We start from the raw sequence: 26860 nt of genomic DNA, 5'->3' as shown, positions 1-26860 counted from the left end.
CAAAATTTGTGTTAAGCTGTCATTCATCAACAAATATTTACTCAGCTCAGAGCAGTGCTAGTAGAAGAGAAGATAGAGGGGAAGAAAAAAGGTGTCTTTGCTTCTATACAGTTGACAATTTAACCAAGAAACAAACTGACACACCAAAAACAATCAGAATACACATATGTTTAACTCTTTGGTGCAGAGATTTCTTGTGTAATTATGAGAGAAAGTAATTTAAAAAGGCTTCAAGAAGAAGGGTTTGATGAAAGCGGGATTTGGTTAAGAAAATGAATGAGAAGAAGCTTAAATGAGAAAATAAACACAGAATGTACTGAGAATATTAGGAAACAAGCATAAATAGAGGCTTCCATTGTAATGCAAAGTAATATTCATACTCGTTTAGCCAGTATAGTGGTGCAAGCATGTACTCCCAGCACCTGTAGACCCAGCAACTTGGGAGGCGGAAGGCTGAGGCAAGAGGATCGCTGGAGCCCAGTACAGGCTGCAGTGAGCTACAATCATACCACTGCACTCCAGACTGGGCAACAGAGCAAGACCCTGTCTCAAAAAAAAAAAAAAAAAAAAAAAAGAAGGAAAAGAAAAGAAAACAAATTCATATTCATGAATGGACAAGCTGGGAGGAGCCAAATTATGAGGGTCCCAGCAAAATCTGGCAGAAGCCCCAACTTAAATAATTAATTGCTATAAATATTGACCAGATGTTTAGTGTATTATGGCAAGTAAGTGCCACAGAAATGTTGCTATCTTATTATTCTACTTATATGGGTCATTCTTAGTTGCAGACACTGAAACATACAACCATGCAACAATCAATTATGAATGCAAAAGATTTCTAGGCTAGGGTAAAACTACTGAACTCCTAAAGCTATAAGAGTAACTCTTCCTTGCTACTTGCCAATACTAGTGAAAGCACCAATACCTACTTTAAAAGAAAGCAATGCTCTAATTTCTAATGATGTTGCTACAAGATGAAACTAAAATAAGATGACTCATTTTTAAACATACCAGAATTTATGCATCCAATCAAGGGTGGTCCCCTCCAAAGTTGTCACCTGAAAAGGCAACAAACTTAAAAATGATGCTTCCAAAACATCAGAAAAGATGGACAAGACCTCTAAACACAAAACTACAAAACATTACTGAGAGAAATTAAATATCTAATTAAACAGAGTTAATGGAACAGAAGACTCAATATCATCAAGAATATAATTCTCCTCAAATTGATCTGTAGATTCAACACAATTCCAAACATTCCAGCAGATAGCTGTGGAAATTTATAAGCAAGTTCTAAAATCTGTAAGGAAATGCAAAGGGCTTACAATAGCCAAGACAGTACTGAAAAAGAACTAAAGTTAGGAGACTTTGGCTATCAGATACAAAGAGAATAAAGCTAAAGAAATTAACACAATGTAATATCTGCACAAGGATTAACAACAACAACAACAACAACAAAAACAGGGCCACAGAACAGAATAGACAGTCTAGAAAAAGACTCACATATACATGGTCACTTGCTTTGTGACAAAGGTATCCCCATGGGGGAAAGGTTGCTATTAAGTCAAGTACAGACCTACTATAGACCTAAATATAAAAGGTAAAACAATAAACATTCAAGAAAGTAACACAGAAGATGTCTTCAGTGGGTCATAAAAGGATCCAATAAAAGAAATTAACAAATTGGATTTCACTGAAATGAAGAACTTCTGTTCCTCAAAAGGTATCATGAACAAAATGAAAACATAAACTACACAGTGGAAGAAAACATCTGCAACACAAAGACTCAACCAGACTATACAAAGAACTCCTACATATCAACATGAAAGATAGCCAAAGTTAGAAAATGGGCCAAAGACTTGAAAGAGGACTTCAAAAGAAGACAACATTCAACCCTTTTTTTTTTTCCTTTTTGTGGAGACAGGAGTCTCATTTTGTTGCCCAGGCTGGTCTCGAACTCCTGAGCACAAGCGATCTGCCTGCCTTGGCCTCCCAAACTGCTGGGATTACAGACATGAGCTAACACTCCCGACAAGAGGACATTCAAATGGCTAACATCTAAAAAAGTATTCAACATCATTAGTTATTGAAGAAATGCAAGTAAAAAACCACCATGAGATACCACTACAAACACCAGAAATATTCCGAATTTTTTAAATGGATAATACCAAGTTTTGGCAAAGATGCAGAACAACTGGAACCCTAATACTCTGATCGATTGCAGAAAAAATTTATATAATCACTTTGGAAAACATCTGGCATTATCTGTGAAAAAGATTATTGGCCAGGCACAGTGGCTAACACCAGTAATTCCAACACTTTGGGAGGCCAAAGCGGGCAGATTGCTTAAGCTCAGGAGTTCAAGACCAGCCTGGTTTTTGCAACACGGTGAAATCCCATCTCTACAAAAAACATAAAAATTAGCTGGGCATAGTGACATGTGCCTCTGGTCCCAGCTACTCAGGAGGCTGAGGTAGGAGGATCACCTGAACCCAGGAGGTGGAGGCTGCAGTGAGCCATGATCACACCACTGCATTCCAGCCTGAGCAACAGAGTGAGAACCTGTCTCAAAAAAAACAAAAAAAGAAAAGAAAAGAAAAAAAAGAAAAAAAGAAAAAGATTCTCTTCTTGACCAAATTTTAGTCAGGCTCATTTGAATCCTGTACTCACCTAGGCTTCCTTCTCCATCCTTGTAGAATCCAGTTTTAGCAAGAATCCTACTAAGTCAGTTTAGCCAGAATCCCCTAACACCATATTTCATCACCCGCCCTTGATATCTGACCACATTCTTCATTCCCTACCATTTCCCAGCAATGTCTGATCACCCTGGCCTCAGCCTGCCTTCAGCAAGAATCCTGTTAGGTCAGTTTAGCCAGAATCCCCCCACTTACCTTTTAGTAACTTTCCCTCCACTGACACTGTCTCCCCCTAACCCTGCTCCTTGGCTATAAATTCCCACTTTTCCTTGTACTTGGAGTTGAGCCCAATTTCTCTCCTCCAATGCAATAGTCCCTAAATCTATCACAATAGTCCTAAATAAAGTTTGCCATACCATTTCAACGTGTCAAGAATACTTTTTTCTTTAACATCTATTAAAGCTGAAAGTATGAATATTCAGTGCCTTAGCATTCCACTCCACTTCTAGAGATACACTAAACAGAAATGCACACATATGTTCAATAAATGTGTAAGAATGTTTATGGCAGCTTTAGTCACTGTAGTCCCAAAACGGAAATAACCCAAAAATCCTTCAGTACTAGAATGGATACCAAAATTGTGAGATATTCACACAATGGAATACTGTACAATGAGAATGACTGAACTACTGTTACACAGAACAATATAGATAAATTTTACAAACATGATGTTGAGTAAAAGAAGCCAGACACAAAAGAAAATACTGAATTATTCCATTTATAAAACATTAAAAGACAACACTTATGTATGGCAATTAAAGTCAGATTAATCGCTACCTTTCAGGAAGACTGTTTGATAGCTATGACCCAGAGCTCACCACGTCAAAGGAAACACACTTCATGAAGGACAAGTATTCAAGCTAGAGTGGAGAAATGAAAACGACCAGGAAGGAGTTTAACAGTCACTCCCCTGGTGCTCTAGTTTTTCCTTCACTCTCTTTGAAGAATTCAGTCCTTTTCACTGCCATTTTATCTGATTTCGCCTCCACCCCACACACTCCAACCACACACACAAATGAATCAATGGTCCATAAAATCTTCCTTCACGAAAATTACAGCAGGACCTATTGCTTTATTTCTCCCCTTTTGGAAGAAAAGGAAACCATCTCTATCACCCAGAGGAACTTACCTCCAAATTCAGCAAAGAACCAGAGTTTATGACTCCAACTTCATACCTTATCAAAACCCTACAGAGCTGGCCCCATCATCTTTAGAGTTCAGCCTCCAACTTTTACAATATCTTTCTATTAATTACAACAATAATGAAATAGAATGCTTATAGACTGAAGGTGGACACTAAAGTAGTATCCACAAGAAATTGTTTGTCAAATCCAAATTGGAAGACTAGCAAAAGTTATTTCCATTCAAAAATACATTTGTAGAGGGAGAATTATCAAAAACTGTGTTTAATTGTGTTAACTGTGATGAAATGCCACTCCTGACTGCTAAGGATATAAATGGTATTAGATGATCCCTACGTGGTTAGAAATGCTTTTTTTCCTCGTCTGGAGTATGCTGAAGAACCCTTGACTATCTAACCTCCAATTCCTCTAATTCTGTATATTCACTTACCTTTAATTTCACAAACTGCCATCTTTATGCTTCCTTTGCTCCCTTTGCAAACATCATCTTGTGAATCATAGTAGGATAAGATTCCATTATCTAAAACAAACCAACGAGGCTGCCAGCCTAAAAAGACCATAAATAACAAAAGGTCAATTGGAAACACATTACTTTCACCACATAGAAAACTGTGATTTCAAAACCTGCCATCCACATTATTTCTTGGCTCTCAAATAACATTCCGATAATGAAATTTTCAATCACCAAGCCTTACCAAAAATGTTTTTGCATCAGTCTCCACTTTATTGGGAGAGGTTTCTGGAGCAAGCTCCAGAGCAGCAAAAACACGGGGAGTAATACTTCTAATTCTAGCTCACAGTGTTCTCATTAACAACCCATAAGGCCCATCCTCAGTAATAGCCCTAAACCGGGTATAGCATAACTGCCCTCTTTTCCTAAAAAGGAACAGAGTTGGGGTTACGATATTATGGGAAAAGCCACAGAAGACAAGGGTTCTAGCCTTACCTATAGTATCATTCTTTAATGGATAATCATACCCTGGGGACAAATCTTTTCATTTCAATAAATCTCTAAAATTCCCAGTCCCTAAAATGTGTAGGTTGAACAAGATGACCTCTCAGGTGCCACCTAGCCCTCTAATTCTGCAATGTGCCTCTTATAAAATACATATTTCTAAGCAAACTCCCTTAAACACAATGAGTGCTAAATGAATTCCAGTCTCTTAAATAGAAGCTACATACCCTATGGTGAGAACACAGATTCCCCATATGACCCCCTCTTCCCTTGTCTGCAGTTGCACAGCTAGGGTTGAAATCCTAGAAACTGCAATTGTTCGATTGATATTTATTCAGTGACTAGAGCTCACATCTATCACAGACTTGGCTCCATGCCAAAGCTGACGACAAGGATGATGACTTTCCTTGGCACCCAATTCCCACTCCTCTTTGAAGCCAAACTTGGTGTTCCCCGGAGTCTTATCAAGCATGCTACTAATTTACAACAGTTCACTGACTATTAACATGGTGACCATGCTGGGAGCAGTGTGACTGTCCTTGTTCTTTCCATGACTATTAAATAACAATTCAGCACAAATATTCATGGCTAAAATGTACATTTTAAACCATGGATGTTCGTATCCCGGTCACTTTTGCCATAGCCTGCCACATGATCAATTTGATCTTTCCAGGGTCAGATAGTGCCGAGAGGGGAGATGGGTCAGTCATCCTTACACTTTAATACAGATCCAGGACTTAATTCCCCAAAAGGATTTATCTGTAACACTTTTGAAATGACAACACTGAGTCATCAAAAAGATTAAATTTTACTTTGTAACCCTGTTTAGGAAGGCAGGGAATGCAGTAATACAGTTCAGAAAGAGAGATATCTAAAGCAACTAAAAACCAGCAACTTTCAGGTTCCTGGAAGATTCCTTTTTATGAAACAACAGAGTATTCCCTAGTGAGACCTAAACAAATTAGAAGGTAAGTTATTTTGGTACATGGACTTTATCTTGTTCATCACTGCATTCCCAGCAACTAGAATGGTGCCTGGCACATAAGAGGTACCAAAAAAATCTATTTCTCAAGTGACTGAATAAATAAATGAATGAATGAATACCCCAAAAGTGAGATATTTCAGGGATTGTTGCTGTTGTTTTGTTTGGTTTTTTGAGACAGGATCTCACTCTGCTGCCCAGGCTGAAGTGCAGTGGCATGAACATGGCTCACCACAGCCTCAACCTCCTAGGCTCAAAAGGTGCTCCCACCTCAGCCTCCCAAGTAGTTAGGACTACAGAAGTGCCACCATGCCTGGCTAATTTTTTAATTTTTTATAGAGACGAAGTCTCATCATGTTGCCCAGGCTGGTCTCAAATTCCTGGACTCAAGTAATCCTGCCATCTTGGCCTCCCAAAGTGCTAGGATTACAGATGTGGGCCATCACACCCTGCAGATATTTCCTATTAACCATGAGAGTATAGACATACAATATATCTTTGAGAGTATATTGTATTGATCATGCATGGAAATGATAAAAACATTATCTTTCCAAACACTAATTTACCTTGCCAAACAAATTATAAGCAGGGGGTGGTGAAAATACATTCCTCCACCCAGGTCTAGTGTGCCTATAGGACAAATTATGATTTTGCAAGCCTGCAGTACTGCAATTCAATATCTCTTTAAAACAAATATTGGGCAAAATGATTCATTTAGAATTTGCAGCAACGTGAAAGGTGAGTGGTTGAACACATTAATATAATCAAGCCTGTTAATTATCTCTACACACTTTTTGAAGAAATATTTAATAAAACAATTTCTAATTGGTTCACACACTTATATAACAGAGGGTAATATCTGTGAAAAAGATTCACAGGTATTCCCTTTTTAAAATTCTTTTTTTTTTTTAATTCTTTTTATCTCAAACTACAAAATGTTACTGAAATTCTTACTCTCTACAAAGGATTCTCAAATAACACTTTTTTTTTTTGAGATAGAGTCTCGCTCTGTCGCCAAGGTTTGAGTGCAGTGGTACAATGTGGGCTCACTGTAACCTCTGCCTCCCAGGCTCAAATAATTCTCATGCCTCAACCTCCCAAGTAGCTAGGACTACAGGTGCATGCCATCATGCCTGGCTAATTTTTTGTAATTTTTGTAGGGACAGGGTTTCACCATGTTGGCCAGGTTGGTCTCAAACTCCTGACCTCAAGCTATCTGCCTATCTCAGCCTCCCAATGTGCTGAGATTACAGGCATGAGCCACCGTGCCTGAACAACACTATCATTACACTTAAAGATCACTTAGTATGAACAGCTGCTCATTCTTATGACCTAAGATGAACTAAAATTAATAATCAGCACACCATCTACCCAAATTTAACTTTTAAAAATAAATTCTTCCAAACAAAAGATTTCTTTTCAACCAGCTTCTACAATGCATACTAGAAGTTGACTAAATGCCCTGCAAAGACTAAAATCTAAATCACATGTGATTAAAAGCTCAACCCCTGGTTATTTAGTACCATAGGAGATAAGGAAATCGCCACCAAGCCCAGGTTTCATCTCAACTCTTAAATTATGACTCATCTCAGTAATGGCCCAATGGTTCCACAACACCATGCTTAGGAACACTTGCAATGAGATGAGCATTTGCATCTCAAAGCATACAAGCTAATGTCTTTTTTTTTTTTTTTTTTTGAGACAGGATCTCGCTCTGTTAGCCAGGCTGAAGTGTGTGGGTACAATCATAGCTCACTGATCCTAGCTCACTGCAGCCTCCATTTCTCTAGCTAAAGCAATCCTTTCGCCTCCGCCTCCTCAGTAACTGGGACTACAGGTGTGCACTACCACACCTAGCTGTTTTTTGTTTTTGTTTTTGTTTTTTTAGTAGAGACCACGTCTCCCTATGTGGCCCAGGTTGGTCTTGAGCAAGCAATCCTCCCACCTCCGCCTCCCAAAGTGCTGGGATTACAAGCATGAAGCACTCTACTGTCTTTAACAGTTAACACTATACCTCAACCAAACAGTATAACTGCTCTCACAATGGCCAAAATGAAAATGCCCAATAAAAAATATTTATCTAACTTTTAAATGTTTCCCGTTAAAACATGTCACTTATAGAAATAAATTGAGTTTTTAGTTTGAACAAAATAAAACATCTGTGTATCATAAATGTTAAAAGCATTTGCTGCTACAAATCTGGCTTTAGCATTCTAATAAATCAAAAAGCAGGTATAACTGTAGCTCAGTGCTTATGCCTTAAAAAGTTTACCTGCACATTTTGCACAAGATCAGGTGGACACAAGTCGAGAGTACCACACAATTACTGAGGGATGTGATACTTTTGGCAGAGCGAAGAAGTGGGCAGCAAGTCATGATTTGCCTATTATGCTAGACCCCCCCCCCCCAAAAAATCTGTTTACTGTTCAAATTTATGTTAAAACCATCTTCTCACTTAGTGAGGTCATGGAATTCTGGAGTTGGAAGGCATCCCGGGGCAAAATAACTAATCACCCTGGCCTTATCAGACTGAGGTCCTGAAAGAATAACTGACTTGCCTTCATTGTTGGTTGATGGCAGAGATTGGACTACAACTCAAATTTAAGGAGCTTTTAAATAAGCCTACAGGCTGCCAATGTCATGGTAAGGGGCCCTTTCCTGCTGGTCTCTCATTTCTTCAAAGTTTTTCCTTCCAACCCACTTCACAGGTGAAAGTGACTTGCCTGTTCCCCTTCTGTGTATTGACACTTTCTTCCACTATTTCTCAGTTAACAGAATTCCCCAACGTAAGGATACTTCAATGACAATCCCTAAGAGAATATTATCTGGGGACAGCTTCCAAAATCATGCTCGCTAAGCTTGAACAACCTCAACAAGACAACGTTTTAAATAAAATGTTAAGGAAATTAAAAGAAATACAAAAAAGAATTAAAATTAAATCTTGTAGTTGAAACAATTAAAGGGTCCATTCCAGTCCAATACTCCGACAACTCAGTTATTAACAAAATGCTCTTAAAGTATGAATACTAAGTGTGAATAAGGACGGAGATCGCAACAACACATGTAGGGTGACTGAGAATTGTTCCTGAGGCTACAGGAGGCAAGGATTAGTATTATTACACTAGCAAAGAAGTGGCAGGTGCACTTCCCACCCTCTAGAAGGTGCGCAGCCTCAAACCCTCCCCTGAAGAGGCCAGAAGGACTCAACAAGCCCTGGAATCGAGTAGAGCGAATTCGCTCTGAGGGTCCGCGGAGGCCAGACGGAGGAAGAGGAGCCCCGACCCGCCTTCTCAGCAGCCCCCCGCCTCTCCCCTCTTCCCTCATCACACGAGCCCCCATACCTGTGAGATAGTTGGTCCACTTGTACAACACCCCCTCCATGCTTCAGAGCCCCACACCGCGCATCCTCCCGGCCCGGCGCCGGCCGCGGTGATGGGGTAGGCGCAGGGCCTGGGGCAGCCCCTCCCGGCCCGCCCGGGCCCCCTCCGCCGGCACGAAGCCGCTTTCTGCCTGCGCGCGCCGCAGGGACGTGGCGGCCTTTAGAGGCCGGGACAGCGGGCGCAGCGTGGAGCTTGGGGGCCGCGAGGCGCGGGCCCAGACATTCCCGGGTAAGCCTCGGCGGCGGCGGCCGCGACAACGGCAAAAATGCGCCCGCGACCGGCCTCCTGCTCGCGCTTCCGCAGCCCGGCTGCTCCCTCCGGCGCCCCGGCGCTGCCTCTTCCTCGCCTGCCTTCCTTCCCCCTGGGCTCCCCGTTTGTTTTCATTGACCCCGACGTCGATTTCACTTCCTGGATGAAAGGGGCCGGATCGTCCCGGGAAACCCCTCCCCGGCGGCGGGGCTGAAGGAGCGGGCGCGGCCTGCGGCCTCGCCGCCTAGCCGGAGGCTGCGCGAGGAGGGCGGGCCGGCGCGTCACACCCTCGGCCTGCCAGCCAGGGCCGCCTTTACTCCTCCCACGGGCCGGTGGCCAACAGTCCCGAGGCTCCCAAGTTTCCCCTTGGCCGCCAAGGCCCAGGCTGACCGCCCCCGGGGGACAAGACCTTCGAGCTCCGCTGCGCGCGCAGCCCCGGTGCCTACCTAAGGAGGAGCTGCCCGCACACTCATCCCGCGGGCACTTAGTTCTCTCGGGTTTTCCTGGGTTTTCTTCAGAAATACATAATATCCTGTTTCTTCATGAAATCCTGTTTTTATTTTACATAAAATCCTGTTTTTTCTTCAAAAATACATAAAAGCCTTCCTATTTCTGTTTGCTTCGTATTTTCCTCATATTCAAGGGGTCTGAAATTATCTCCTAGGAAGGCAATGTGCAGCAGACGGGGTCCTCTGACAAGGAATGGCGAGGGCCCCCAAGGAACTGTCATCACGCCGATAACCTTGGATAGCCACAATTTTATTTAGAATATAAAACATGGAACTCGACTTCGGAATTTTAGTCTAGAAATGGGGACTTCCCCCTAGCTTTTATGATTTTTGAAACTCCTGCTTGGACGCAATTGTCATCTTGCATAATCGACAGTAATTTTCAGGTTTATGGAATTTTGCAAACTTTAAGCAAAGCACATCAATCAGGCTCAGTGCTGCGGCTTTTCTTCGCATCACCGAGGTAGAATAGCACCTCTACTCCCAGAACTTAATCCAGGCGAATGCAGAAGGCCTTTGCTGGTTTTCTGGTTTGGGTAGTCTTTGGGTATTCACTTGGAAACAAGGCGAATTGATGGATGGATAGAGTGATGGATGGATATGTAATAAATATAATATAGTTCAATGACAGGATCCAGATGGTGGGTGTAGGAGAGTTTACTGTAGAATTCAACTTTCTGTGTATTTTAAAGGTTTTCATACTAAAATTGGTGGTGAAGTGGTGTTGTCACACAGATTTGACCAAATCCCTGCTGCGTATTAGCTGTGAGATTGGGACAACATGCCCAATACTCAAGTTTTCTTGACTGATGTGGACAATTACGTATCCCATGGGATGGTACAAAAAAGTCAAAAGAACATTCCCCGCACTACCAGAGGCCCTCGAATCAAGGGCGGCCCCGAGTGGCGGGGAAAAGAAATGCAAGCCAGCGGAGGATGCTGAATTGTGGAGGTCGGCTCTCGGAAACGCCTGCAGCCAGGCAGAGGAGTTGCGGTACCGCAGTTTCGTTGCATCGGGCTGGCCTTCAGGTTGTGCGACTCAGCCTGGAACCTCTGAATGCAAGATTCCGACCTGAGAATGCGCTTCAAGGACACCTCCGAAGCACCCAGAAAGCCACCGCCAGCCTATTTTTTACGCTCCTTTTCCAGCATGCCTCTCCCTCCCCCCAGTATCTATCTGCTCGTTCCCTAGGGGTCTTAGAAGCCTTTTGCTTCCAGAAATGACAACCATATTCCCTGACTCTACGACATCCCAGGCTGTTTATTTCGTCTTATGCCAGTTTCATTTTAGAAAATGCGAATGTTGTCACCGAACCCTGAGGAAACCTGCTGTAAAATACGCGGGTTTAGCGAGAAGAAGCGGAGCGAGTGTGCGTTGCGATCTTAAAGACTGAGGACAGCCAGCCCGAGGGCCTAGAAACAGCGTTAACCGCGCTGAGCCCGCTGCGGGAGGCGGAGGGGTTGGGGCCATGAGAGGGCGGGGCCGCATCTATGGCCCCGCCCCGGCCCTTTGTGACGCAGGACAACGCCTGCCACGCGTCGGAACTCGGCCGCGGGACATCCACGGGGCGCGAGTGACACGCGGGAGGGAGAGCAGTGTTCTGCTGGAGCCGATGCCAAAAACCATGCATTTCTTATTCAGATTCATTGTTTTCTTTTATCTGTGGGGCCTTTTTACTGCTCAGAGACAAAAGAAAGAGGAGAGCACCGAAGAAGTGAAAATAGAAGTTTTGCATCGTCCAGAAAACTGCTCTAAGACAAGCAAGAAGGGAGACCTACTAAATGCCCATTATGACGGCTACCTGGCTAAAGACGGCTCGAAATTCTACTGCAGGTAGGAAATGCTGCGAGCTGCCCGTGCGTCCAGTTGCACAAAATCTTGCCTGCCTCCACCAAGCGGAAGCCTCATTGGTTGGTTGGTTGGGGTTTTATTTTTTAACGGTAAAAGTTGAGCCCTTTATTCATTAAAAAAAATCACATTATATGGCAGTGTTTCTCTAATAAACTGAATATTTTTATTTAAAGTATTGAAAATGTTGTGGCAATAAATTATCAAAAATACGATACATCCACACACACATCAACCACCACCATTACCCTTGGGACCTCCAGAATTAAATCAAGGTTCTGCCTATAAGGATGTTCACATTTTTCCCTTGCCAGAAGTATTGAGTCTTTACGGAGGAATACATGGAATAAAGAGATTTAATTCTGGCCTTCAGAAGCACGATTTTTATAGGTTGTGGCCACTTTCTATCAAGAAAAACAGTTACTTCCCTGGTGACTTCTGGTGGGCCCTGCTCCCTCATTCCACCTGGTGCCTACTCTGATTTAATTGATGGCTTATTACTCAGAGGGAGAATCTTTTCTTTACCCTGTAAAGATAGGACTGGGAAAAACAGTTCCATCCATTTAGAATAAAATAGAGAAATTTAATAAGAATTTATACAATTTTATAATTTAATAAGAATTTAATAAATTATATCATTAGAATTTAATAAGAAAATATACCATTTTAAATTACTATTAAAATGACTTTTTGAGGCTAAAACTGCCCTATCATTTTTTTACAACAAACCCAGGGAGTTAAATGAGTTCTTTGTACAAGCCATGCACCTAGTTAGGGGCTGGAGACCCATTAAAAAGTTAACTGTTGAATAGTTTTTGTAAAGATAACAATTTTAAAAAATGAGATGGCTGTTAATGATTAACTTTGGGCAAATCATACTTCTTTCTGGTGATTATAGGGAAGTTTGAGTCAAACACCCCATTAAGGGTTTTAGAAAGAGTGATTATATGGGAATGATGGTTAGAGAGGACTCCAATTTTAAATGCCCAGCTGTATTTTCAAGTTTGATTTCTTGAAATCAGTTTACTTAAGTATTGCTTTTTGTTATAGCCGGACACAAAATGAAGGCCACCCCAAATGGTTTGTTCTTGGTGTTGGGCAAGTCATAAAAGGCCTAGACATTGCTATGACAGATATGTGCCCTGGAGAAAAGCGAAAAGTAGTTATACCCCCTTCATTTGCATACGGAAAGGAAGGCTATGGTAAGATGTTTAATTTTAATTTCTTGTTTTAGTTATATTTAAAAAATGATTAATAGATTTCTGGGTATATAGGTCTGAAAGAATTGAAAGCACAGTCTCAAAGAAATATTTGTACAGCCATGCTCATAGCAGCCATGTACAATAGACAAGAGATGGAAGCAAGCCACATGTCCATACATAGAGAAATGGATAAACAAAATGAATACATGCATATATGGAAGCCAGGCACAGTGGCTCATGCCTGTAATCCCAACACTTTGGGAGGCCAAGGTGGTAGAATCACTTGAGGCCAGGACCAGCCTGAGCAACAGCAAGACCCTGCTCTACAAAAAAAAAAAAAAAAAAAATGAAATGGAATATTATTCAGCCTTAAAAAGGAAGAAAATTCTGAGACATGCACCAACATGTATCAGCCTTGAGGACATTATGCTAAATGAAATAAACCAGTCACAAAAAGACAAATACTGTATAATTCCATTTATGTGAGGTACCTGGAGTAGTCAAATTAATAGAGACAAAGTAGAAGGGTGATTGCCAGAGGCTGAAGTGAGAGGGAAAAGGGGAATTGTTGACCAATGGGTATAGAGTTTCATTTTTGCCAGATGAAGAGTTCTGGAGATTGGTTGCATGGTAGTGTAAGCGTACTTTACTGAACAACACACTTGAAAATTGTTATGATGGTAAATTTTATGTTATGTGTATTTTACCACAATTAAAAACAAAAAAGTGAAATAAAAAATGATAGATGAAATAAAGAGAACAGTAAAGCCCAATGACCTTAAGCTCTATCTAGTTCAGTCCAGTCCCTTCTTTTTGCTTATAAGGATAATATGACATTGTTTGAATATAGATCTCTGGCCAGAGTTCTTTCTTCTACATTGTGGCAACACTCATGATGATTATATATATTCTATAAGCTCTACCTTAAGCATTTTTATTTGTTTTCAGCATATGTTATTATTACATAAATATTTATAACACAGATCTTTGGTAAGCAGTACCAAAGTTAAATTCATAAAACTCAGAAACTGGAACATGTAGGTTTAGAGTAAAAGGACAGGACGGGCACATTGTAAAAGGAACAGCTGAGATATAATGGGCTGTCAGTCATTATTACCCCAATACAGGACAAGCCTTCAAATGTGCAAGAAATGATCTTATTCTTTCAATATCTTGTCATTTTAAAAATCCTACAGCAAAAAGATCTGAAAACCTAGGTAAAGCAAATAAGCGGGAAAAATGTTTGTAACATGTATGAAGACTTGCTAACCAATAATGAAAATGACATATCCCTAGAAATGGGCCAAATTCATAAATAAGCACCCACTAACAAAAAACTACAAATGGCCTTTAAGTCTATGAGAATACTTAATTTTATTCATAAAGAGAAATTAAAAATGAGACATCATATTTCACTCATCAGATTAGCAAACACAAAACAACTTGGCAAAAGCATGGAAAAACCAGCATTATTGCTGGGAATGGAAATCATTCAACTTCTCTATCAACTGTTATCAAAAGTGAAAATGCAGGCCCGGGTGTGGTGGCTCATGCCTGTAATTCCAGCACTTTGGGAGGCTGAAGTGGGCAGATCACTTCAGGTCAGGAGTTCGAGACCAGTCTGGCCAATATGGTGAAACCCCGTCTCCACTAAAAATACAAAAATTAGCTGGGTGTGGTAGAGTGTGCCTGTAATCCCAGCTACTTGGGAGGCTGAGGCAGGAGAATCGCTCGAACCTGGGAGGCAGAGGTTGCAGTGAGCCAAGATTGCGCCACTGCACTCCAGCCTGGGCAACAGAGCGAGACTCCATCTCAAAAAAAAAAGTGAAAATGCACGTGCCTTCTTATCCAATAGTTCCATTTCCAGGAATGTGCACAAAGGTATATGTAAAAGAACATTCACTGCAGGCATTTTTGGGTGGGAGGGTGGCAAAAGGTTGGAAACCACCTGCCTATCCATCAATAGGAAATTAGTTAAATAAATTATAGTATATCTATACAATGAATTACTGTGTAACCAGTAAAAAGAATGAAGTAGAGCTATACTTATTAATATGTTAAAAATAAAGTGGAGGCCAGGCATGGTGGCTTCATGCCTATAATCCCAGCACTTTGAGAGGCTAAGGTGGGAGGATCACTTGAGCCCAGGAGTCTGAAAGCAGCCTGGGCAATGTAGGGAGACACAATCTCTACAGAAAATTAAAAAGTTAGCCAGGCGTGGCGGTATCCGCCTGTGGTCCCAACTACTCAGGGGGCTGAGATGGGAGGATCCCTGGAGCCTGGGAGGTCGAGGCTGCGGTGAGCTGTGATTGTGCCACTGCACTCCAATCTGGGCAACACAGCAAGACCCTGGCTCAAAAAAAAAAGTGGACAAGACTATATTCCACTTTTGGGATATATATTGAGCATCAGTGCCAGGCTTTGTTCTAGGCACTGGGCATAAAGCAGTGACCAAAGTAGACACTACTCCCAATCCTCTATGAGCTTTCATTTCAGAGGAGGAGTTTCACATATGCATGTATCTACACAGAATACATCTGGAAGAATATGCAGTCATCTGATGACATTAAGTGTTCCTGGGAAGGAGGCCTCAGGGTCAAGGATGAGAAGATTTCTTTTCACTCTAACATTTTGTACCATTTGAAAGTTTTATAAGGCATGTATTAATTTTTCCAAAATTAAAATTTTAAATTACAAAAATTGCATGTAGCAGAACAGAGAAGAAAATTTTTAAAGCAGGCAGGAGGATGGGCAGCCTGATAGGCTGTACCTTGCATCCTTAGTTAGGTTCTTGCTCCGTGTTGCTGCTTGAAGGCTATACAGAAAGAATCTTTGCCTCCTTACCCTATTTAGAGCCACTGCTGACTCCACCGGTTTGAAATAGTAAAGATTAATTTTCCACAATGAGATATTGGCATTGCTCCCAAATATTTCATGGAAGTGGCATGCCTTCTTTGAGGCAGTTGTCTTAGTCATTAAGAGTTCTTTCCAGCAAAATCGGGGCATCAGTGCCCCACACTGGATTGGCGGGTGGTGGGGGGGTGTCAGTGCTTTGAGTCAGACCCAGTCAGGCTTAAAACTCCTAAAGAGACAATTTCCAGATAACTTCAGCTTTATTTTTAATGCTTTTTGCCAATAATTTGATCCCATCAGAACAGCTCCCATGGTACCATAATTCATATATCCTGTTTTTATTTGTATAGGAACCTAGGAGAAAGAGAAGGAAAATTGAAAATAAATTAAGTCAAATGCAATACTTGTGCTAAAAATGTTGTCAAAAGTTGAGGCCACTTCTAGGCAAAATGTTGGAGGCAGAGTTTGCCTTTCAGTCTCTTTCTCATTTTCAAAGTTTTCCTTTCTGTCTTGCGTTGTGTCTTCAGATGCCTCCACATTCTGCCTACCACTAGAGCACCCACTCTCCTATCTGCCTAGAGCACACACATCTGTCATCATCAGGTGCTCATCCAGGGTTCACCGCCATCAGGCAAAGGACCACTTAGCTTATCTTTTTCATAAACTAATTTATGCTTAGATATGAATGACTACCCAGGCTGCCTAAGCTCTTAATAAATCAGAAACTTGCTGCAGAGATATAGAAGTTTGATGTGAAACAAGTTCATATTCAATTGGAGGTATCTCTAACAAACATTAAAGTGATTAATCTCACTAGTAATACCACCAGCACCCTCATTTTACAGAGTAAGAAACTGAGGCCCAAAAAAAGTGTTAATTGGACCATAGTTAATACTGACCTTGCCTGCGTTACATTAGGCATTGTAATCCAATACCTTGGATTACATTATTTTAAAAGTTGCAGTGTAGACCTTAAGTAACTGTTTAACAAACAACCTCTTGATTAAATAAGCATTTAAAAGTAAGTTGTTATTAAGACCTAACATTAGCTATAACTTTATTTTAGGTAGTACTTGAAGAAGTCTTTCTTCTGCAAAATATCCTTGTCTCATGTCACAGAACAACCCTGCATGTCTTGAAATGCATGTGACTTGTTAGTGCTTAAATAACAATACATGCGGTATGTATATATTCTTTACCTTAATTCCTACTTCTTTGATCTGCTTCTCTAAATATAAGTAATTCCGTAGCAAATGCATATTTTCCTCATTTTTATACTTTAGTTTTTTTTAAAAAAAAAAAAAAAACAAGAAAAAGAGGTAATTGGCAATATATCCTTTTTTTTTTTTTTTTTTTTGAGATGGAGTCTTGCTCTGTCACCCAGATTGGAGCGCAGTGGTGTGATTGATCTTGGCTCACTGCAGCCTCTGCCTCCCGGGTTCAAGCTATTCTCCTGCCTCAGCCTCCGAGGAGCTGGGATTACAGGCACACGCCACCATGCCTGGCTAATTTTTGTATTTTTAGTAGAGATGGGGTTTCGCCATGTTGGCCAGGCTGGTCTCGAACTCCTGGCCAGCCAGGCTGATCTCGCCCTCCTGGCCAGGCGCAGTGGTATAAGCCAAATAAGAATTGCTTGAACCTGGGAGGCAGAGGTTACAGTGAGCCGAGATCGCGCCATTGCACTCTAGCCTGGGTGACAGAGGAAGATTCTTGTCTAAAAAAAAAAAGTGGTATAAGCCACTGCGCCCGGCCAATATTTTCTATGTTTATAGCAAAATTGTTCAAAAACTGCATATGTACCTACAATATTTTTTCTTAAGAAATTCAAGTTTTGGGCTGGGCACAGTGGCGTATAGCTGTAATCCTAGCACTTTGGGAGGCCGAGGTGGGTGGCTCACCTGAGGCTAGGAGTTCAAGACCAGCCTGGCCAACATAGTGAAACCCCGTATCTACTAAAAATACAAAAAATAGCTGGGTGTGGTGGCTTGTGCCTGTAATCCCAGCTACTTGGGAGGCTGAAACACAAGAATCACTTGAACTCGGGAGGTGGAGGTTGCAGTGAGCCAAGATCGCGACACTGCACTACAGCCTGGGCAACAGAACAGATTCTGTCTCAAAAAAAAAAAAAAACGAAAAGAAAAGAAATTTGAATTTGTGTTTTGAGTTTGCCTTGAATTATTGTCAGGAGACAATAATTCTGTCATAAGGAGATAACTGGAAAAAATAGGAATGGGTTTTATAAAACAATCATTGACTCAATCTCTAGCTCTTCTACTCTAAAGTCAGGTAATATGTGGTGCATTAGGTTAGGACTTTTATGTTAGTCATATGATGCATGGGTAGATCTTTCTATGTTTTCTCTTTGAAAACTACTAATCTGCTACTCCTTTTGGCTATAACTCACAAACTCTTTTCTCTTCAGACTATATAAAGACTTTAGCTAGAATGCTTCACTTTTTTATTAAAGAAATTGCTGTTTCCTTCCAAGGACAAACATTTTAAAAATAAATGATATGGGTCATTCATTCGGCAAATATTGGACTGCCTGTAGTAGATTAGGCACTGTGTAGGACACTGGCAATATACTGATGACACAAGCTACCCGCTGCCCCTTAGCAAGTCATTTTTGCAAGTCACTTTTATGACATATTTATCTGAAATAGCCCATCACTTATTAAAATCACCTGTGACATCATGGCCTGGCACGGTGACTCACGCCTGTAATCCCAGCACTTTGGGAGGCCAAGGTGGGTGGATCCTTTGAGGTCAGGAGTTTGAGACCAGCCTGGCCAACATGGTGAAACCCCATCTCTATTAATAAAGTATAAAAAATTAGCCAGGATTGGTGGCAGGCACCTGTAATCCCAGCTGCTCGGGAGGCTGAGGCAGGAGAATTGCTTGAACCTGGGAGGCAGAGGTTACAGTGAGCCGAGATCGTGCCATTGCACTCCAGCCTGGGTGACAGAGGAAGATTCTTGTCTAAAAAAAAAAAAAAAATCTGTGACATCAGCTAATAGGTTAACTTAATTAAAGAGAGCAATTCTGGCCAGGCACAGTGGCTCACATCTGTAATCCTAGCACTTAGGGAGGCCAAGGCAAGCGGATCACCTGAGGTCAGGAGTTCAAGACTAGCCTGGCCAACATAGTGAAACCCCATCTCTACTAATAATGCAATGCCTGGTGTGCACCTGTAATCCCAGGTACTCAGGAGGCTGAGGTAGGAGAATGGCTTGAACCCAAGAGGCAGAGGCTGCAGTAAGCGGAGATTGCACCACTGCACTCCAGCCTGGGAAACAGAGTGAGACGCCGTCTCAAAAAAAATAAATAAAAATAAAAATAGGTATTCAACTTATTGCTTAAAAATGTATACAATTTCTTTGTAAAATTGTTACTGAATTTTTATTTTAATTCTTTTTTTTTTTAATAGAGACAGGGTCTCACTATGTTGCCCAGTTTGGTCTCAAACTCCTGGGCTCAAGTGATCCTCCTGTCTCGGTCTCCCAGAGTGCTAGAATTACACGTGTGAGCCACTGTGCCCAGCCTGTTACTGGATTTTTCTATCATTGCACTTATTTTTTAATGTCTATAAAAAATTTGAAAGACAAATATATTAATACTTATGTTTTATTTATGCTTCCAAATAACTACACAAAATCACTTTCTAAAAGATGACTCATCTATGCTTTGCAATTTTTCTGCCCATGCATTTCTTCTCTGTGCCACCTCTCTTCTGTGTTGATGATAGGAGAGTACAGTTGTCTCTCAGTACCTGTTAGAGATTGGTTCCAAGACCTTCTCATGGATTCCAAAATCCACAGAAGCTCAAGCCCCTGATACAAAATGGCATCACATTTGCACATAACCTCTGGACATCTTCCGGTGTACTTTAAATTATCTCTAGATTACTTATAATATCTAATACAATGTAAATGTTATGTAAAAGATTGTTATATTGTATTGGTTAGGGAATAATGACAAGACAAAAGTCTGTACATGTTTATTACAGACACAACTATCCTTTTTTTGTATGAATATTTTCAAGCCGAGACTGGTTGAATCCACAGATGCAGAACCCACAGATATAGAGGGTCATATCCATGCATTAATAAAAAGTTTATGATTTTTACTTAAATTAATCAAGAAATAGTGGTCCCATAGGTCCTTTGAATTGACTTGGTTTGGAAACATATGGAAAAAATATTCCTAAAAAAGTATTTATAAAAAAAAGAGAAAAAAAAACAAAAAAGAAAACTATTGAAAAGCCGAAAAAAGTTATAAAAGATGAGAAAAAATTAAAAATTGTGAGTATTCAGATAGCAATTCTTATCAACATGAAATAATATAATATGGTTATGGCAGTTCATGAATAGATATTTGAACTATATCTTTACATAAGTTAAACTGTTAAAATTTATACCCTTAGCAGAAGGCAAGATTCCACCGGATGCTACATTGATTTTTGAGATTGAACTTTATGCTGTGACCAAAGGACCACGGAGCATTGAGACATTTAAACAAATAGACATGGACAATGACAGGCAGCTCTCTAAAGCCGAGGTAATTCAAACCAATTTCATGTGTATAGTCTAATTTTTTTATCACAGTTTAAATACATCTGTGTTACAACTATTACTTTTTAGGTCTAGCTAGCATGGGCTCTGATCACTGCTTTTATAGAGCTGGTCACTAAAAAATAATCTAAGCGCTTAGAAAAAGCTCTAAGCTTTTTCAGTATAAACCTTGTGAGTCATCCTGTTCAATTGCCTTTCTCCCTGCAAGAGAGTCATTAAAATCCCGAATTATTTGTCTCTACAGTGCTCTTCCAGTTTCTAGATTACACTAGCATATCTCTTTTTCAGACAGCACTGTAAGAATTTGCAACAGGGCAAATAATTCACGCCTCATAGGATGATGAAAAGAGCTAGCAAGGGTCTGAATTGAGTGGGCTAGAAAGTTGGTAAACAGGAGCCAGAAGTTCAGCCAGCTAGCGTCTGTATCTCAGCCTTGTAATAAAGATCTTGTAATAATAATGATAATTGGGCTGGGCATGTGGCTCATGCCTATAATCTCAACACTTTGAGAGGCCGAGGTGGGAGGATTGCTTGAGCCCAGGAGTTCAAGACCAGCCTGGGCAACACAGGGAGACCCCCGTCTCTACAAAAGATTTAATAAATTAGCCAGGCATGGTGGTGCATACCTGTGGTCCCAGCTACTCAGGAGGCTGAGAGGTAGGAGGATCGCTTGAGCCCAGGAGGTTGGGGCTGCAGTGAGCTGTGATCATGCCACTGCACTCCAGCCTGGAAGATAGACTGAGACCTTGCCTCCAAAAAAAAAAAAAAGATAATAATAGATAACATTTATTTTATACTTTTAGTACCAGGTACTATTTATAAGCACATAAGTATGTGAACTTATGTAATCTTCATGATAGTTTATGGGGCAGACACTATTGTCATCATCTTCGCTTTTAGATGGGGAAAATAATAATCAGGTTAATCAGCCAAAAATCACACAGTAGTAAGGGGCAAAACCTGGGCAATCTGGCTTCATGACTGTTCTTACATTTCAATTTTTTAAATTTTTCTTAGAGACAGGGTCTTTCTCTGTTGCCCATGCCAGGGTGCAGTGAAGTGATCATAGCTCACTGCACCCTTAAACCCCTGGGCTCAAGCGATCCCCGCAGCATGCCACCATACCCAGCTAATTTTTTTTTTTTTTTTAAGAGATGGAGTCTCACTACATTGCCCAGGCTAGTCTTGAACTCCTGGCCTCAAGTGATTCTCCTTCTTCAGCCTCCCAAAGTGCTGGGATTACAGGTGTGAACCATCATGCCCAGCCCACTACTATATTTTTAACTTTGGGCCTAGACTGCTTCTTTCAGAGAAAATCATGAATGTTTCAAGTCTAATACTATTTATTGAATTCTAATGTCTTACTTAGTCCCACTGACGATACTCCTGCTTAAAATTAGTAAACCAGCTGTCTCCCCTCTTAACTAGTTAGGAGACATTTAAAAATGTGTAACTCTACCACATAAGTAAGTAGTAAAAGCTAACTAGGTTGATTTCAAGTAATAAAAATAAGTCTTTTTCTCTGTTTCTTTTTCATCTCCCTCTCCAATCCTTTCCCCACCCAGTTCAACTTCTTACACCAGGATATTAGTAATGACTTTCCCTTCAGGCATCTTGGTTGGCCAACAGTGGAAGAAGGAGAAGGGAACATGTCCTGTTCTTAAGAAGAAGGGCAGTTACCGGGGTGGCAAATGGTTCCCAAAGTGTACTTCTCTATTGACTCCTTATCACCCTTTTTTAGAGTGAATAGCAGCTGCAGATGAATTCGCATAGTACCCAAGAGCTCAGCCTATGCACACAGACCACTCATTATCACAGGCACACCAAGAGCCACGTTCTGCAGTATGAATACTCCTCAGTAAGACATTAGATGATCTTAAGTTCTTTTCTGGAAAATAAAAATAGAGAAAATCCAAAATAGTAATCTACTTATCTACAATTTCCCCAGATGTCTATGTGATATCAGCTGCTTTATTGCCAGATGGATGAGAGTGATTTTCACTAACTTGAATAACAATAGCTGTCTTTTATTGATGGCCATAATCATTATTCTAATCCTCATATCAATCCTACAATATAGATACTTACTTATCTCCTTTTACAGATGACAAAACTGAGGTTCAGAGAGGTTAATTTGCAGAAGACCACACAGCAAATCCAAGACAAAGCCTGAAGTAGAAACACGAACTAAAAAAACAAAAACAAAAACAAACAAACAAAAAACTTTATTCATTGTCAGAAAGATTAAGTAAACTATTTCATCAGTGTACAGGAAGGAACATTTAAAAAAGAAAAAGAAAAACTTTCTTTAATATTAATAAAGACGGAAAGGACGGGGGAAATACAGTATTTTATTAAATTAAAAAGTGGAAATAGTGTGGAACCCATTACTAGCAAAATTAAGGTCATGTTCTTACCCACTGTCTTTTTGTACCTCTGTACTGTAGTTTACTGGAAAAGGAGTCAAGTTTAAGCATCAGCAATATTGGTTATGTAAAAATAATTTGACTTACTTAGAAACTGAGAAATATTTGAAGGTATTAAAAATTGTTTACCCCTACATAGGATTGCTAAGCTTTGGCTGGAAGAAAAAAATGTGTCTGCCTCATGTAGGACCAAAGTCCCATTTGAGAACAGTTGATGTATCCTTCATTAAGGTCCACTGATTGCTCTAAAATAAAGTCAACTTGCAATGGGTTGACCCTGGGATATGTATTGCTAAAAACCTCTCAAACTCTAGCTTTCAAAAATACTCTTGCCTCTATAATGCCAGCCTTACTGAACATTACCTCCAGATGATTGTGCATTGCTTTCTTTAGTTATTATAAGGATTAGTGCTTTCCAAAGGAAATACAATTGTTACACATATAATTTTAAAATTTTTATAGTCACATCTTAAAAAGTAAAAAGATACAGGTGAAATTAATTTTAATGTTATATCTTCACTCAATATATCTATAATATTGCCATTTCAATATGAGATCGATGTAAAATTATCAATGAGATAACTTTTTGAAGTCTTCAAAATCTGTTATATATTTTATATTTATAGTAACATATCTCATTTTGATCTAGCCATGTTTCAAGTGCTCATTAGTCACATGTGGCTAGTGGCTACTATATTGGACAATACTTTTAATGTGTGTTTGCATATAGAAATTTTATATAATTAGTGAATACTTCAGGATTCTTTATTTGACATTATTAAAGAGATTATTATAGTTATGTAGACTTGGAGGAGAGCTATAGAAGCATAGAAAAACTTAAAATACTAAATTTTATTTCAAACCCCATGGTTGTGTTTTATTGATTATACAACATATTCATTAGTTTTAGAGATTATAGAAATGCCAATTGGGTTTCTTTCACTAATGGCAGTCATGCGTGATTTTCCTTTGATAATAGGAACAGCATGGATTATTAGAAAGCATTTAGTTTCAACAAAATTCAGTTTAAATATTAATCTTCGAGTATGTACCACTAACCATCTATCATCTTAGGGAAAACTAATTTGAAGACCTGTTTCTCTCCAAAACATTGCTTCAAAGAATAAGAAAAATAAAACCTCAAATAGCTTTTCATACTGTTGTATCATTTACTGTAAGTAATCTTGCACATGAGTTTCATTATTATAACTATTCCTTAAAGTTACTGGAAATTCACTGTGATACCTTTTAATTAAAGGAATGTTATTTTGGCCTTCCAGATAAACCTCTACTTGCAAAGGGAATTTGAAAAAGATGAGAAGCCACGTGACAAGTCATATCAGGATGCAGTTTTAGAAGATATTTTTAAGAAGAATGACCATGATGGTGATGGCTTCATTTCTCCCAAGGAATACAATGTATACCAACACGATGAACTATAGCATATTTGTATTTCTACTTTTTTTTTTTAGCTATTTACTGTACTTTATGTATAAAACAAAGTCACTTTTCTCCAAGTTGTATTTGCTATTTTTCCCCTATGAGAAGATATTTTGATCTCCCCAATACATTGATTTTGGTATAATAAATGTGAGGCTGTTTTGCAAACTTAACTTGCAGGAATGGTATGACTGTGTTTCCTACTGCTTTATTCTGTAAACAAGAATTGTAGCACCATGAAACAGACCTCTGGGTCCCAGTGGGCATTTTTTCCCCTTTCAGGATGTAGGAGGACATGTATAGTATGTCAAAAACTGCAAGCTTTTCCCAACTTTAACCTTACCAGCATGTTAATATCCAGTTTTTTTATAGTTTAAAAGTTAAAGTGCCTCATATTTTGAAAATATCCATTAAGGACCCAGGAATTAGCATTTCACTTGTTTATACATTTTTATAACATTATGAAGACGATATAAAAATCCTAGAACTGAAGAGTCTTCCTTTGGTATATGTGCAGGAAGATAGTTGTATATCTCTGTTCCACAAAGAACGCAACACAGTCTCTAAACTTTTTGGTGTAAGCTTCTAGCCTTGGGTATTTTCCAGTGGGGAATGTTTAAAAATATTTGACCAAACCAAAGACTTTTTGCCTCTTATAGCAAGCATAAAGACTGTACTGCCTGGCTTTTGTATTCCTTCAGACATTATTGTAAATGTGCAACTCCTCTTCCCTCTTGTAAACCTTTATAAGATGTCTGCCACCCCAAGCTTTTGTCTTGATAGTTTTAAATTGATGCCATGAAATTTCTTAGTTTTCGTTCCCTTTCTCTAGTTATCTCTTTCCTTATGTCACCTCATTTCCCATCATTCTTGTCACTAATGATGAATGATCATTACAAATTGGTATGCTGTCAAATTTTGATAAATGTGCCAAACAAAGGAGGATATACAGTGCCATGGCAATTTTGTGTCATGGTCAAGTTATGATATCATATGACTTGAGAATAGTATGTAAGAGATGCTGTAGAAGATCACGTTGGTACCAAAGAAAGGGCACATGTCTATCGGAACATAGATTTTGCATACTGCATGGTATGGTCAGGCTTTGTGTCCACACCCAAATCTCATCTTGAAATTATAATCCCCATAATTTCCATAATCCCCACATGTCAATGGAGAGACCAGGTGGAGGTAACTGAATCATGGGGGTGGTTTTCCCCGTGCTGTTCTCATGCAATCTGATGGTTTTATAAGTGTTTGGTAGTTCCTCTTGCATTCATTCTCCCACCCGCCACCTTGTGAAGAAAGTCCTTGCTTCCCCGCCTTCCACCATGATTGTAAGCTTCCTGAGGCCTCCCCAGCCATGGGGAACCATGAGTCAATTTAACCTCTTTCCTTTACAAATTACCCAGTCTGGGGCAGTTCTTTATAGCAGTGTGAAAATGGACTACTACACTGCATATATAGGAAAGTATGGTCAGACAGTAAATAGCTCTGTTCAAAATAATTGAGTTCCAAACAAGTAAAGTTTTTTCTACCTTCTGAAACTTGCTCTTTCCAAACCATTGTTCATCCTTTAACTTCTTTACACTATCAAAAATTCTATTTAAAAATAGAGGGCTTTCAGATGAGTACATACAAAAACAAACAAAAGTATACATAGGGGTAACACAACCATGAGATTAGTAAATAATACATATGGCTAGCACATAATTTGACACCTTATAAAACAAGAATCTGTACTATCTTTTCCTTCCTCCCAATATTTCTTCATTTCTATGCTCAATTTTCTAATACTTTTTCACATGCTTAATCATTTACTCTTTCATCGCCTTCCCTCAAAAAAACCTGCTCCGTTGAAGTAAACTAAGTAACTCAATATTCTTTATTTTGGTTTGGAACCTGTCTCAATTTTTTGTATCCATATTAAGAAGTCACCCTATAATCTAAACTTTGTAATTCTAATTTTTTTGTCCCATTATCATACAAAGTGCTTTTAAACTTGTTTTTAAAAAATGACAGATAATGCCACATGAATAGGAAGATGATTCATTCTAAAACTTGTATTTACATAATTAAAAATAAATTTATAATCATTCTACATACAATACAGTGTACAAGTATTTCATATATCTGCATGATTGCCTTATGCCTTCATATGCATATATGTGGCATTGAGTGCTGTGACTACATTTTGAGTTCTAGAATTTTTTTTTTTTTTTTTTTTTGCAGGTGCAAGATTTAATAGAGTGAAATAGAGTGAAAACAGAGCTCCCATACAAGGAGGCGACCCAAAGGGGGTTGCCATTGCTGGCTGGAATGCCTGGATTTATATCCTGATCCTTGTCCCTCCCGCTGTGCTCTCAGGCAATAGATGATTGGCTATTTCTTTACCTCCTGTTTTTGCCTAATTAGCATTTTAGTGAGCTCTCTGATTGGTTGGGTGTGAGCTAAGTTGCAAGCCCCATGTTTAAAGATGGATGTAGTTACCTTCCCAGCTAGGCTTAGGGATTCTTAGTCGGCCTAGGAAATCCAGCTAGTCCTCTCAGTCCCCACTCTCAACAGGAAAACCCAAGTGCTATTGGGGAGGTTGGCCGATGACTGCT

The 26860-nt window shown here is 39.7% G+C and overlaps 2 protein-coding genes and 2 long non-coding RNA genes across 11 annotated transcripts in view, besides 2 other annotated features; 2 read left to right on the top strand and 2 right to left on the bottom strand.

Moving 5' to 3' along the window:
- PLEKHA3 (pleckstrin homology domain containing A3) overlaps positions 1-9569 on the bottom strand; it is a 36007-nt gene extending 26438 nt beyond the window's left edge. The window contains exons 1-2 of one of the 2 annotated variants that reach the window (NM_019091.4): positions 9117-9569; positions 4269-4385 (exon numbers count right to left, since the gene is read on the bottom strand). In NM_019091.4, coding sequence (NP_061964.3) covers positions 4269-4385; positions 9117-9156 — 157 coding nt within the window. In that variant the 5' untranslated portion in view covers positions 9157-9569. Of the gene's footprint in view, positions 1-1011; positions 1059-4268; positions 4386-9116 lie in introns of those variants that run through there. The other variant, XM_047445577.1, reaches the window with a different exon arrangement.
- Positions 7542-7591: an enhancer, noted in NCBI's record as "active region_16805". NCBI's record gives its function as "activates an Ori minimal core promoter by ATAC-STARR-seq in GM12878 lymphoblastoid cells {active_cell/tissue: GM12878}" and the evidence as "EXISTENCE:reporter gene assay evidence [ECO:0000049][PMID:35858748]".
- Positions 8328-8681, top strand: LOC124907911 (uncharacterized). Its single transcript, XR_007087320.1, has 2 exons — positions 8328-8418; positions 8544-8681. It is a non-coding gene; the product is annotated as an uncharacterized LOC124907911 (long non-coding RNA).
- Positions 9176-9815: a silencer, noted in NCBI's record as "silent region_12150". NCBI's record gives its function as "represses an Ori minimal core promoter by ATAC-STARR-seq in GM12878 lymphoblastoid cells {active_cell/tissue: GM12878}" and the evidence as "EXISTENCE:reporter gene assay evidence [ECO:0000049][PMID:35858748]".
- On the top strand, positions 11426-26362 carry FKBP7 (FKBP prolyl isomerase 7). 7 transcript variants are annotated; one of them, XR_007076405.1, is made up of 4 exons: positions 11426-11747; positions 12813-12964; positions 16884-16997; positions 20244-20332. XR_007076405.1 is itself a non-coding variant. In NM_001135212.2 (4 exons), exons 1-4 carry the CDS (start codon positions 11527-11529, stop codon positions 24254-24256), a joined length of 666 nt encoding a protein of 221 aa, NP_001128684.1. In that variant the 5' UTR covers positions 11426-11526; the 3' UTR covers positions 24257-26362. The 7 variants fall into 7 exon arrangements, 5 of the variants coding, with proteins under 5 accessions (NP_001128684.1, NP_851939.1, XP_011509651.1 ...); XR_007076404.1 differs by having other exon boundaries at positions 20241-20329; NM_001135212.2 differs by lacking the exon at positions 16884-16997 and adding an exon at positions 24095-26362 and having other exon boundaries at positions 20244-20374.
- On the bottom strand, positions 16059-18589 carry LOC124906102 (uncharacterized). Its single transcript, XR_007087322.1, has 2 exons — positions 18502-18589; positions 16059-16171 (listed from the first exon to the last, which is right to left on the bottom strand). It is a non-coding gene; the product is annotated as an uncharacterized LOC124906102 (long non-coding RNA).

The sequence above is a fragment of the Homo sapiens genome, chromosome 2, assembly GCF_000001405.40.
Source record: "Homo sapiens chromosome 2, GRCh38.p14 Primary Assembly".
Classification (NCBI taxonomy): Eukaryota; Metazoa; Chordata; class Mammalia; order Primates; family Hominidae; genus Homo; species Homo sapiens.
Note: the sequence above shows the minus strand (reverse complement) of the source record. Positions and strands in the feature narration are given on the sequence as shown.